The sequence below is a fragment of the Homo sapiens genome, chromosome 8, assembly GCF_000001405.40.
Source record: "Homo sapiens chromosome 8, GRCh38.p14 Primary Assembly".
Lineage (NCBI taxonomy): Eukaryota > Metazoa > Chordata > Mammalia > Primates > Hominidae > Homo > Homo sapiens.
The window spans coordinates 1,491,776-1,504,254 of record NC_000008.11 but is presented as its reverse complement, the minus strand read 5'-3'; the positions used below and the strand labels follow the sequence as shown (position 1 = coordinate 1,504,254).

The window sequence follows — 12,479 nt, the reverse complement described above, 5'->3', positions numbered from 1 at the left end:
ATATTTTTAAAGTAAAACAAGAAGCGTTTCTTCCATTAAAAAAAAAAGCATCAGGTAAAGAACTTTTAAAGACGACAATGGCCAAGTCCTTTCTCAGACAAATACATCAGGTGGGGCCTGGGCACTGGTATGTTTTTAAACTTTCCCCAAGTGATCCTGACTGACATAGAACCAGGGTCAAGACCTAATATTTGCACGAATGGGCTAAAAGGCCTCCCTGGAACCAATGCGTCCACCTTCCTCACGAGGTGCACTTCTGCACAAATCTTGTGACTCCAGGTCACCGTGTGCCTGCACCTGGCTGCTTCAGGTCCCTGGGCTCACCAGATGGCTACAGCAGTTCCTCCCTCTCCCTCCAGAGTCCTCCACCCACGTACCACCCCAAGAGGGGAAAGCCAGGCACGTGTTTGAGGGTCCTCTCAGCCAACCGTCACCAAATTCTCTCATTTCCTTCTTTCCAGAGCTTCTAACATCTGACCCTTCTCATTCTTACAATGGCCAACCCCCACCCCATGGCAAGACTGTAGAGGCAGCTCGCAAAGCACACCCTGTCCCTAAGCAGTGTGGAGGTTCCTCAAAACGAGGAAGCATCGCTTCACCATGGGATCCACCAATTCCACTTCTGGACATTTACCCAAATGAACCGAAAACAGTGACGTGGAGAGAGAGCTGCACTCCGTGTTCACAGCAGTACCATTCACACTGGCCAAGGAGAAGCGACCCGGGGTCTGTCCACGGAGGAATGGAAACCAGTGTGGTCCATCCACAAAGTGCAGTGTGGCTCAGCCTTCAACAGAAAGGGCGTGTGACACATTGATACATGCAGTAACAAGAAGACATTACCCCATGTGAAATGAGCAGTCACAAAACAACAAATCCTGTGTGGTTCCACTTCTAGGAGGGCCCTGGAGGAGTCAGTTTCAGAGACAGAAAGCAGAATGGGGGTTCCAGGGCTGGGGAGGGGAAAGGGACTGAGTGTTTCATGGGGACAGAGTTTTACTTGCAGAAGAGGAAAAAGTTCTAGAGACAGAGGTGCTGACGGCTATACAGCAACATGAATGCATTTAATGCTGTTGAACTTACTTACAAAGGGCTAAGATGAAAAAATGCTTTCTGTCCCTACAATCCAGCCTTCACCAAGCCACCCATGTGACATTCTGCCTCCTTCGCCCCCCAGCCTCATCCCTCGATGCTCACTTGTGTGGCTGCAGAACAAACAAACTCTCAACCACGGAGTCCAGGGTCAGAATCCAGGCAAAGCTGGCCTCCCCAGAGTGACTCCTGCACTCTTGTTTCAGTTCTGTGCCCCCTGCTCCAGCCTCCAGGTTCTTTTCACTGTGCCTGAGCCCAAGCAGAACCACCCCAGGTACCTCCTGCTGCCCCAGAGAAGGCCCCTGGGGCACGTGGGCGCCGCTGCTATGGAGAAGAACTGGAATAGACACAACTATGACATTAACATTGTCCAGAGACAGTGCAAAGGCAGCTGAGCTACCTCCAAAGCCTCAAGAAAACAAACGTCAAATGAGTCCCGTGCATTTGGAAGCCTCCCCAGGCAGGCTGAGTAGTGAAGATTCATCGCGATGGAGTATTGCCAGACTGAGGTTTAAAAAAACAGATGCATAATTATTCAAACATGATAGCCACTGTTCCTTCCTAATGAGAAGTCGAAATACTTTCACTCGTCTATTTCCGAGTGAAGAAAGGCTGTGTAGAACGTCAGTTAGCAACAAATCTAGGACTCAGTTGCAGTGGATAATGGACGGTCATCCTTTAGAACTCTACCCATTTCCATCATCTTATATTGAAAAGCAAACACTTTTTGGCTGTAGTTTTCTTTAACAAAAATCACAGCTTTATACAAAGTGGACTCCTTCAATTTTCGATATTATTCTTTAGGCAAATCAAACCAGCAATAGATGCACTGGCTAAAAGTCTGAAATACGTTTTTAAAAATGTACATTTAAATATAAATTGAACTTATGATCCGAGACCCAGCCCTGAGTGCTGTCACTGCAGACAGCTGTCAGTGGCTTGAGAAAGAGGCTGACAATCTTTTAGGTTAGAGAATAACCACAGACAGCAACAAACCTCTTTTAGGTTAGAGAATAACCACAGACAGAGCCACTGATGGGGCTTCCGTCTTCAGCTGTGGTTTGACGTTGATTTTATTCAACAGTTTGATGTCAGATGTATTCAACATTTCACATCTTTAACAGAAGCATTGGGCCTTGTTCTTGTAAGCATAGCTCCATGTCAAAAGACTGATGGCAAATATGGCACCAGCTTTGCTGTGCTGGTGGCAGCTCAGAAATGAAATTTCCACGTGATTTGAACCAGCATCGGGGAAAGTGTGTCGTGGCAGCCTCTCGCAGGGCCCTTGGAAGGAAGCGCACAGTCATACTCAGCATCCAGACCCCAGTGTGTGGGGCCAGCTGGAGAGATGAGCTGCTTCCTGCCAAGGAAGGTCTACATGAAAAATGCAAATGCGGGAACACCCTGCTTCCTGAGTTTGCTTAGAATATGTTTAGACACAGAGGAGCAAGGGAAGGAGGGGTCCTTCACCTCTGGAGACATGCATCGTTTATGTGAACGGCTGCCTCAGTTCCTGAGGGCCAGGAGCAGCCCTTCCTCACCTAGCACTTCCGTAATGCTTAAAAACTATTATTTTTGGAAAAAAGTGCCGCATTGTACTTAGTTCTTCTTAGCTCCCTTTCTAAACATGCTAACGTGTGTTTGTGGGACGGTCCGCATGATGGGAGGTGCCCGGAGCATGCCCGGTTCTGTCCGGGCCCCGCCAGAGCGGGGCTGACGTCTGTACTCTACCTAGATCCTCCTCTGCCGGCCCCGGAAAGCTGATGCCCGGCTGGACCAAGTCTCCAGCTTCTTCCTCTGCAAAGACAGAAACAAAGTCACTCTTTAATGCGTTTCTGGTGTAGACTGCAGTCATTCCCTGCACATCTTCAAAACCCTCCACACTCAACAGTTCAAACATGACAGACACCTTTGTATTTCTTCAAACGTCACCGCTCAGAGCCCAGCATTTTGTGCCAATAACCTCAGGAACAACCAGTGTTTTCTGTAAAGCAGCATTGTGACCACAGATGCACGTATTTCTCCCACCTAGACACGGACATAGGCAGTGAGTCCCAATGATTCTCAGCTTTAACTCTGGCCTAACTTCAAATTTATTAGGCCTTATTTGCATTGGAACAGACTTGAGTAAAATCAGTCCACTCTAATTTTCCCCGGTTCCTTCCAGCTGGGTGAGTCCCATGAGGGCCCTGCATCGCCCATGAGAAAGACTTTCCTTCCGGTCTAGAAAGCTTCATGCCATTCGAAGCCTCATTTTGCAATGTTCAAAGCCTGCATTTGTGATCTTAGTGCTTAATATTAGTTCATATTAGGTCCACTTTGACCAAAACGCTGATTTAATTTCCCTCTGTTGGGAGATCACCCAGGTCACTGGCATTGATTTTCCATTGTTCGATCTGTGCTAACACAAAAGCAGACATCACTTTCTTAGAATGACATCAGCATGTGGCTGTAAAAGGTCTTGGGGTCACTGAGCACTGTCTTCCCTCCATGTGTGGGGCAACAGGGAACTGGGGAGACAGACAAGCTTGTCACTTGATTTAACTGGTCCCTGAGGAGCTGGACTGAGCATCATCCCGTAGCTCTCCTCCCAGTGGGCTCTGCCCAGGAAACCAGGTGCCGACTCTCCAGGCTGCCTTGGTTTCTACCAGGCTGCAGAGGCAGTGCAGACACAGCTGGATCTCAGGGAGGCTCTGCCCAGGAAACCAGGTGCCGACTCTCCAGGCTGCCTTGGTTTCTACCTGGCTGCAGAGGCAGTGCAGACACAGCTGGATCTCAGGGAGGCTCTGCCCAGGAAACCAGGTGCCGACTCTCCAGGCTGCCTTGGTTTCTACCTGGCTGCAGAGGCAGTGTAGACACAGCTGGATCTCAGGGAGGCTCTGCCCGACACCAGCCACAGTGAGTGGTGTGGGGAGTGGCCTGAGGAGGGGGGCAGGGAGCATCAGATAAGGGAGAATTTGGCACCACGTTACATGTGCATGTAAACATGTTATTTATGGGGTATCAGAATGATGACACATGTGCGTACACACATCTTTGTCACCATTTTGGCATATATGCCCCAAATATAAATATGATTGCATGTTCAGACTCTAGGCATGTATTCACACACATATGTGGGTTTCCAATATTCATGGACAGGCTTTGAGGCACATCTCACATTTGCCCCCACCCCCCCCACCCAAGTGTTAGATGCAGTTAGCCAGGCTGTAGTCTGCAAACGGATTTATTTCAGAGTGTGATGCTGGAGCCACTTACACTGCAATCACCATCTCTGATTCAACAAATCGGCATCTGCCATTTTCAATAAGTTCGTAGAGGTTTGGGAAAGGAAGATGACAGATTTGGAATGTGAGATGCTGATGAAGAGGATACGGTCGCCTCTCAGGTAAATGTGAACTAAGAGTTCATTTCATGGGATCTCCCAGTTACAGCTTTTAAAAAAACACACATGTATAAGAAATAGCTATCTGAATTAAGTTAAGTATCTTACAAGACAGCTCAAATGATTTAACATAACCCCATTTCTTCAAGGCTAACAGCACTTTTTGCATAGTTTAAGCTGCGTTTTTCAGCTAATGAAATACATCTGCCAAATGTCCACATTAAGTATAACATAAAACCACAGACTGGAATGGTCTCATTCATGTAGAAATATGATGGACAGCTCTAATTAACTACAGTTTCCATGGAGACCATCGTCATATGTGTGAGTAATGTGAGAACAGAGCGTCCAGCTGTGTGAGAAAGGAATTTGGGGATGAACTAAAACAATGGGCCCTTCAACCTCAGCCCTCCTTACACCAGACTTTCAGCACACATGCACACAGAGACAAGGCAGGGGCTCTCACAGGGCGGACTTGAAGGATGGGCCAACATCACCCAGTTGCAATGACAAGCATGAGCACTCCGCTAACAACACCAGCAGCAACAGGCATGGAGTTTAGCAAAGCCACGTGCTTCACACAGAGCACAAGCTTGGTATCGGAAGCCTGCGATTTGCTGGAGGAACACACCTAATTATCTTGAGAACAGCACTCCAAGAATGAGGAGTGGGGACGTTTGAAGGTCAGCCTTGAATTGCAGGAGTACAAACGCTTCCTTGCCTGATCTCCTCCCACCCGCCCTTGCTGTTTATCAGATGAGAGAACAGGAGGTCTGGAAGCTGTGTGGCTCAGGTGACACCGTTCAAAGTTAACAATCCAGCATGGGCTGAGGGTACATGCATGGAAGGTTTCCGAGTGCGGTGTGGCCTTCTAGCTGGGAGAGCTTAATGCAGCATGTGTGTCAGTATAACTGTGGGTACCATCCTTCCTTATCTAACGAGGCTTTGTATTTTCAGCCTACATTTTGTACAGGGCAGCACCCCCTTCTTGGAGGTTCTCTTCCTGTGGCTTCAGTCACTGAGGTATGAAATAAGCTGCTTTGAGAGAGAAACAGAGACCACATTCACATACGTTTTATTAAAGTAGATTGTTATAAATGCCGATTTCATTACAGTTATTCAGGTTACTCTCTTACTGTGCTTAACGTATGTGCTGAGCTTTATCACGGCTGCACAGACACAGTGAGCTCTGCACTCTGGCTTTCTTCTGCTCTTGCCCAAATTCCCATCCAAGGGGCCTGGGGAGTCATGCCCTACAAACCACGGAGTCTCATTAGAGGGGTTTTCTTTACCCTACATAACATGGCTCACTTTCCAACCTGACTCGGGCACATCACGTGACAGATAAAGAACAAAATAAAAATATTTCCATCCCGAATGTGTAATTTTTTTTTTTTTATTTATTTTGCCGTATCTTGAAATAGTGCAGGAAAATCTACATTCTGAAGAGAATTCCCTTCTTTTTCCTTCCTTTTCCCAGATCCAGGAGAGAATTGACTCTGATAAGAAACACTTACCATCCATCCTCTTTGCAGCCTGCTGCCTGGAGGCTTCCTCTGCACGGTGGGAACTGCATCTCCACAACCCCTTATCTTCACCCAGACATCGCTTTCTATGAATTCTAGGTCTTCAGACAATAATTTAACTCTTTCAACCAATGGCCAATCGGAAAATGTTTGACTCCATAATGACTTGGGAGGCCTCACTTCCAGTTGTCCTGCCTTTCCAGACCCAACCAAGGTACATCTACAGGTAGTGACCAATGGCTTATGTCTCCCTAAAGTGTATAAAACCAAAAGCTGTATCTTGACCACACTGGACACATGTTCTCAGGATCTCCTGAGGGCTGTGCCACGGGCTGTGGGTCATTCATCTTTGGCTCAGAATAAACCCCTTCAAAATACTTTACAGAGTTCAACTCTTTTTGTCGACAACAGGAAAAATCTACCTACAAGTGTTGGTACTGGCTGAGGTTTCAGGCATCTGCTAGGGGTCTTGGAACATGTCCCCGTGGACAGCGGGGACTACCGTACTTCTACCACGTTCCCACCCCCAGTTCAGAACCCTCACTAGGCAAGAACCCTGTTCGCCTGGACAGGCCATAGGTAGAGCCATGTTCTTCCTTACATCTTCCGCATCTGGGACAGCATGGGAGAAATGCTAATTACCATCTCAGCGACCTCAGAAATGCCCTTATCTATGCTTAAAGAGACAAGGAAATCCTCCTTCTTCTGGTAGATCTCTCTCTCCTGGCCTCCTCGTATAAGGGAGGAGAACCATTTGCTCCACCAGTCATTGGAAAGATGGGCCGCCTGGCCTAGGAAGCCAACGTTGGCTGCTGTCATACAACTACAGCTCTCTCTGCGCTCTGAGACGTTCTGAAATCACGTGACCGTAAGCTTCCTCCACCTAGCCTCTTTACTTCCCATGGTCCAAACTGAATACCTCCCAGGGAGAGGCTGGACGCTATCCCATCCCATGTGTGAGGCTGATCGGTGCTGTGAAACTGACAGCGCCGACCTCTGACCTCACATTTCCATCGCCAAAACAAAACGTGCCTTTGACTGAGAAGTCTTGGGAATCATCCATTCACGCGTGGGAATGCACATCTGTCTTCACTGGAGAAACAGTCTTTCACCGCGGCAACTCCGGGTGGGGCTTCCTCACTCAGACCCCTTGCTTAGGGTCCCTCTGGCAGAACGTACTTTAGGAGTCACCTTTCTCATCTGCTGGAGCTTGATGAAGGCAGTGCTCCATAACGTGTGACCTGGAGACCCCGTAAACCATATTCCATAACGTGTGACTGGAGACCATGTAAACCATACTCCACAACGTGTGACTGGAGACCCCGTAAACCATCTTGGGGGAGCTGTAGCAAGGTCGTCTGGCTATTCTGTGCCCTGGTGCTTCCTTGGAGTCAACACCCAACCCTCCTCCAGCAACGCACACCTCTGGGCACAGCAGCGAACGTGCGGATGGCGTGTGCGGTGCCTCGGGTGCCGCCTGGAGAGCGTGGACCTGTCCCGAGTGAACACACAACACAGGCGCACTTTCTAACATCTCTGATCACCCTTGAGCTTCAGAGAAATGGCTGTCCTGCTCCCCTGTGGCCCAGAGGGGTCTGGGTGGATCTGAGAGGGTCTGTGATGGCCCTTAATCAAACATAGGGCGCCGTGATCACTGTGCTGGGTGCGCCACGTTTGCCTTCCTTTGCTCAGTGATGAGTCGTCTCAATGTCACAAGCTGCTCACACTTCCTGGAAGGGAGACTCGGGCAGTGCGCCTTGAGAAGGGAAGGAAGCAGGATGCTTCCCAGAACCGGTCCTCAGAGGCCCGGGCCCAGGTGGCTGCATCATCAACACCTTCCAGAAAGTGAGGAAATCAGCACCAGAGAGGCAGAGCGCATACTCAGAGGACAGAGGCGCAGACAGACCTGCAGGTTCCGACCCCCATGCACTCCTCTCGGCGCCCCCACGAGGCCCTGTGATGCTTCCACCGACACCGCAATGTCTCATGTAGAGATTCTGCACTGACCTGCAACAGGGCTCTCCTGAGTGATGATGGAGGGAGGCAGAACACTCTGCCAATGAAGAGGCAGAAGAGAGGAAAGAAATGATTGTGGGCAGGTGAGTGACCGATGGACCATATAGCCTTAGGGTAGACTTACTTGCAAGAAGAAACCTGACTTTCAGGGAAGCCAGTGGGCGTTTTACATTCTCTATGTATCAGGCAGGCTTGTGTTTCTGGGCACTCGAAGGAGAACCGTGCCGGGGGCCCCACGTCACTGCCTGGGAATACTCACAGTCTTGTTTCATCCATCAGCCACACCTGGGCCAATCCTTGGCTGTCAGAGGCTCTCGGGACAGGCTGGGCGCCGGCACCCAGTGGCCGCAGGGGCTGTCGTGTGCTTTGCAGATGGACACGCGCTATTTAACATAGAGATGCGCTGAGTCCGGGTGATTAGTGAATCGCACGTCATCGCAGACACTAGAAAGCGAAAGCATACGGGGGAAGGCCCCGGGCACAGACCCAGCACGGCCACCACTCGAGCTGGAGCTGCCTGCGAGACGATGAGCGTCTGCAATCTGCATCCTGCGAGGCAAAGATGTCCACGTCAGCACAACCACAGATCAAAGCCAGGGTCCTCCAGGAAGAGGCTTCCCAGTAGGTGCAGAGGCAAACGTTTCAATCACCACTGTGACCCGAGCACACTGTGGTCTCAGCACACCGACCTCGCCGGGCCAGCGCAGTCCTGGCTCACCCACCACATTCTGACCCCTCATGATGGCGGCCCCTCAGCAGCGCCACTCTTGGCCTCGGCTGCCCTGGCCGGCTCAGTCTCCGGCTCAGAGCAGCACAGCAGAAGGGGAAGAGAAAGGGCCCTGGGGTGTGTGGCCGGGTAACACGGGACAGTAAACGTCCTCGGCTGCCTCTCCTTGTCCTGGAAGTGGAGACAATGCTTCCCCCACAGCTGCCGGGCATCTGAGCCAGCCCTGGCACGCTGGCACTGGCTGTCTGGTGTCGCTTCTCCTGCAATGGGAAGGCCACAGGTTCAGACCCAGCACGGCCACCACACGAGCAGGCAACTTGCCTGGAAGACGACACGATGAACCCACAGGACTCCATTGACCTTGACGCTGGCCCCCGTCTGATCTTGGCAGGGAAGGGAGGGCACCAAGACCGCCAGGGGCTGAGCTGCCACCTGGTGTCGGTCCTGGCAATGCCTCATTATGGAGAATTGATGAAGAAAAATGGCACGTATGAGGATTTAAAGGTACATTTGCCAACAGGCATATCTCGGGACCTCACTCTAACACCCTACCACTCTGTCATTACGCCAGGAGTGATCATCTCTAGTTCTGTGGATGCAGAAATTGACGCCTGGGGAAGTTAAGTTTGTTCTCTGCCGCCACAGAAGAGTTAGATCTCCGTGAAGCTGAGCCTCAACCCCGTGGCTGGAGCTCTGTGTGCTCTGTGGTGTGGTGGTGTCTGTTTGGGGGAGGCTGCATTGAGTGGCACCTCGTTTCTTTTCTTTTCTTTCCTTTTTTTTTTAGATGGAGTCTGGGTCTGTTGCCCAGGCTGGAGTGCAATGGCACAATCTCAGCTCACTGTAACCTCCACCTCCCGGGATCAAGCAATTCTCCTGCCTCAGACGCCCAATAGGTGAGACTACAGGCGCCTGACACCACGCTCGGCTAATTTTTGTATTTTTAGTAGAGACGGGGTTTCATCATGTTGGCCAGGCTTGTCTCAAACTCCTGACCTCGTGATCCACCCACCTTGGCCTCCCAAAGTGCTGGGATTAAGGCGTGAGGCACCGCACCTGCCCAAGTGGCCCCTCATTTCTTAAAGACCTGCCCCGTGAATGCCAACTGCAAGGTTTGGGAAGAAAGAGGAGGAAATGCACACTTTAAATTGACAGGTTTTTAAACTCAAAGCACAATTGCGTCTTCTCAGGGGGAAGTTGTCTCCAAATCATGCTAATGCGGAAGCAAAAGGAAGCAGTTAAGCCTTCAAAGTATTAGAAGGAAAAACCAGGTTCACACATGAGAAGGGAAATTGCTCATAAGAAAAGACTGGATTTCTTGATGGAAAAGGAAACAATAGTATTATCACCTCATAAACACCAAGAGAAGGACATGACCCACTTTCGTCCACTGTGTGTGGGCCCTGCAGCCTTTCCTGCCCTGCAGAGTGTTTGTTATGTGTTTATGGGTTCATCCTACTGCCCCCCCCGATGCAGAATGGGAGGGCAGGGGCCCTGCGTCCTCCTGGCATGGCAGGCCAGCCCCTCCGTGGTCAGGAGATACAACACGTTCCCACCAGTCTTGTGAGTCCACACTGCACTTTTTATAGTACAGGCCTTTTTCGAAATGAAATGGACACAAAACCCCAAACCATAAAACAGATGCTGTCAGCACTGCCTAGGAAGAATCAGGGTAAGAAGCAGGGTCGTGCCGCGTCCACCCCTTCCGCATCTACCCCTGACGTGCCCACCGCCCGCCCCAGCTTCTCTACAGGAGCCAGCCGCTGCCCAGGGAGATGGCAGCAGGCAGTGGGCTTGCTTCCCTTCCATTTCTGAAAAGCACACTTACTTCTTTTCATTGCCGATAGGACGTTTTCCTAGCTGATGGACACCTTTGCTTACAGGAGGATTAGAATGTGAAGCCTTCACCATTAAACCAACGTTCAGAATCTGGGAAACTTCACCAGGACCCTCGCGGCTCCCACACACGTTCAGGTGTGTCTCTGGGTCTTCCCTGGGGTCCGTCCCTCTAACTGTCCCATTCCGTTGCTTCATTCTCATCCAGGGATGCACTGGGCTCGCAGAGGCGTGTCTGAAAGCCAGGGAGATGGAGGCAGCGGTCTATGCGCTCGGTCCACAGAGGCACGTCTCAGAGCTGCGGAGATGGAGGCAGATGTCTACACGCTGGGTCCACAGAGGCGTGTCTGAAAGCCACGGAGATGGAGGCAGCCGTCTGTGCCCTCCGTCCACAGAGGCGTGTCTCAGAGCTGCGGAGATGAAAGCAGCCCTCTATGCGCTCCATCCATGGAGGCGCGTCTCAGAGCTGCGGAGATGAAGGCAGCCATCTGGGTTCCTAGGGCACTGCCTCTTCTCCCCGAGTTCTTGCTACACGGATCCGCCTGGTTCTACCTGCACAGCTTGAGCTCGTTGTCACCTTGTGCCCTGCCCAGATCCTCCTGGACTTCCCTTGAGGCTGAATCTCTGTGCAGCCTGCCCCTGAGATCCTGGCATTTTCTCTCGCCTGGGTGAGAACTCGGTTTCCATCCTCCCCAAGGAATGCTACCTGTTCCCTATGCGTAGGTGGGATGGCAGTGGAGGGTGGAGGGCGGGTTGACATGTACCTCTGAAGATGTGTGGAAAGGTGTGGAGGTGCCTGTCTTTCAGTTCTTCCTGTTTTTCTCCGGCCTACTGTCCCGCAGCTCTCCGTGGTCGTACACAGCCCTTCTCCTTATTGGCCTCCCATGGGTAGCACACAGGTCTTCACGCAAAATCGGCTGCGTCGCCATGAGCATGGAGCCGGGGAAGGTGCCTGGTTGGAAGTCAGGGAGGCGGGGGGTCCATCCCGGCCCCTCTGCCTCCGGCTGTGAGGAGGGGTCAGGTCACGTGCTCCACGGCACCTCTTCGTGGGGGGAGGGGACAGGCGTGGGCCTCGGCTCTTGGAGTCACCGCGCAGGCGCAGTGACAATGTTTGCGGAGCGAAGCGCGGTCCCCATCGGGTGTCGCCCACAGGAGCTGCTTCCGGAACGCACAGGGAACGCTCAGCAGAAGCAGCCCTCTGAGAGTCAGTGCAGAGTTCAGCCATCTGAGCTTGCCCCATTTCTAGATTCTTCTAACTCTTGAAAAGTTTACTTTTACAGAAAGCACGCTCGAGCCTACATTTGAGCCGCTTCCCTAATGACAGGATTTGAAGGCTGTTTAAATTAGGGATTCATTTCTGCTCCGTTAGGACAATGACATTGATTGGTTTTAATGCTGGCTTCCTCCTCCATTTCACTCGCAGCTGTGCACCAGCCGCGCTCAGCCACTGCCGTAATGATTACTAATGGCTTTTCTTTGAAAACCATAGAAATGATCGTAATTTTATTTTGGACCGAGGATCAAGTCTCCACAGAAGCTGCCCCTAAAGTCTGCAGAATTTTTACCAGTGGTTAAATGTCACTTAAATCAGGCCAAGAGAAAGTCTCAAAGTCACTAATGAAGCAACCCCACTCAACTAAGAATGACAATCAGTGCCTCTGTCAGAACAGATGGCTGCAAAGGCGCACGACAGCGGAGCCCGGCTCCAGTCACCAGGTGCACTCGTCACCCCCTCGCGTCCCGCTCCGGAGCTCCGCAGGCCTTACCAGCTTAAACACCACCATGCCTTCCGATAAACTACGACATCATCTTCCGAAGGAATTCAGTTATGACTAACAGCAACGTACACTTAACTTTGCATTTTTTCTGGACTCGGAAAAAAAATTAAAAAGTGCTGAAG

General features: G+C 51.0%; 1 protein-coding gene across 1 annotated transcript in view, besides 1 other annotated feature; it reads right to left on the bottom strand.

Annotated features, from left to right (window-relative positions):
• The window catches only part of DLGAP2 (DLG associated protein 2), a 970,849-nt gene that overhangs the window by 204,222 nt on the left and 754,148 nt on the right, over window positions 1-12,479 (bottom strand). Inside the window, exon 4 of the mRNA NM_001346810.2 lies at window positions 2,824-2,889. Within this exon, the coding sequence (NP_001333739.1) occupies window positions 2,824-2,889 (66 nt within the window). The remainder of the gene's footprint in view (window positions 1-2,823; window positions 2,890-12,479) is intronic.
• Window positions 2,218-2,746: an enhancer, noted in NCBI's record as "H3K4me1 hESC enhancer chr8:1449675-1450203 (GRCh37/hg19 assembly coordinates)". NCBI's record gives its function as "activates a minimal SCP1, AML or CMV promoter by ChIP-STARR-seq in naive H9 embryonic stem cells {active_cell/tissue: H9 hESC(naive)}" and the evidence as "EXISTENCE:reporter gene assay evidence [ECO:0000049][PMID:30033119]".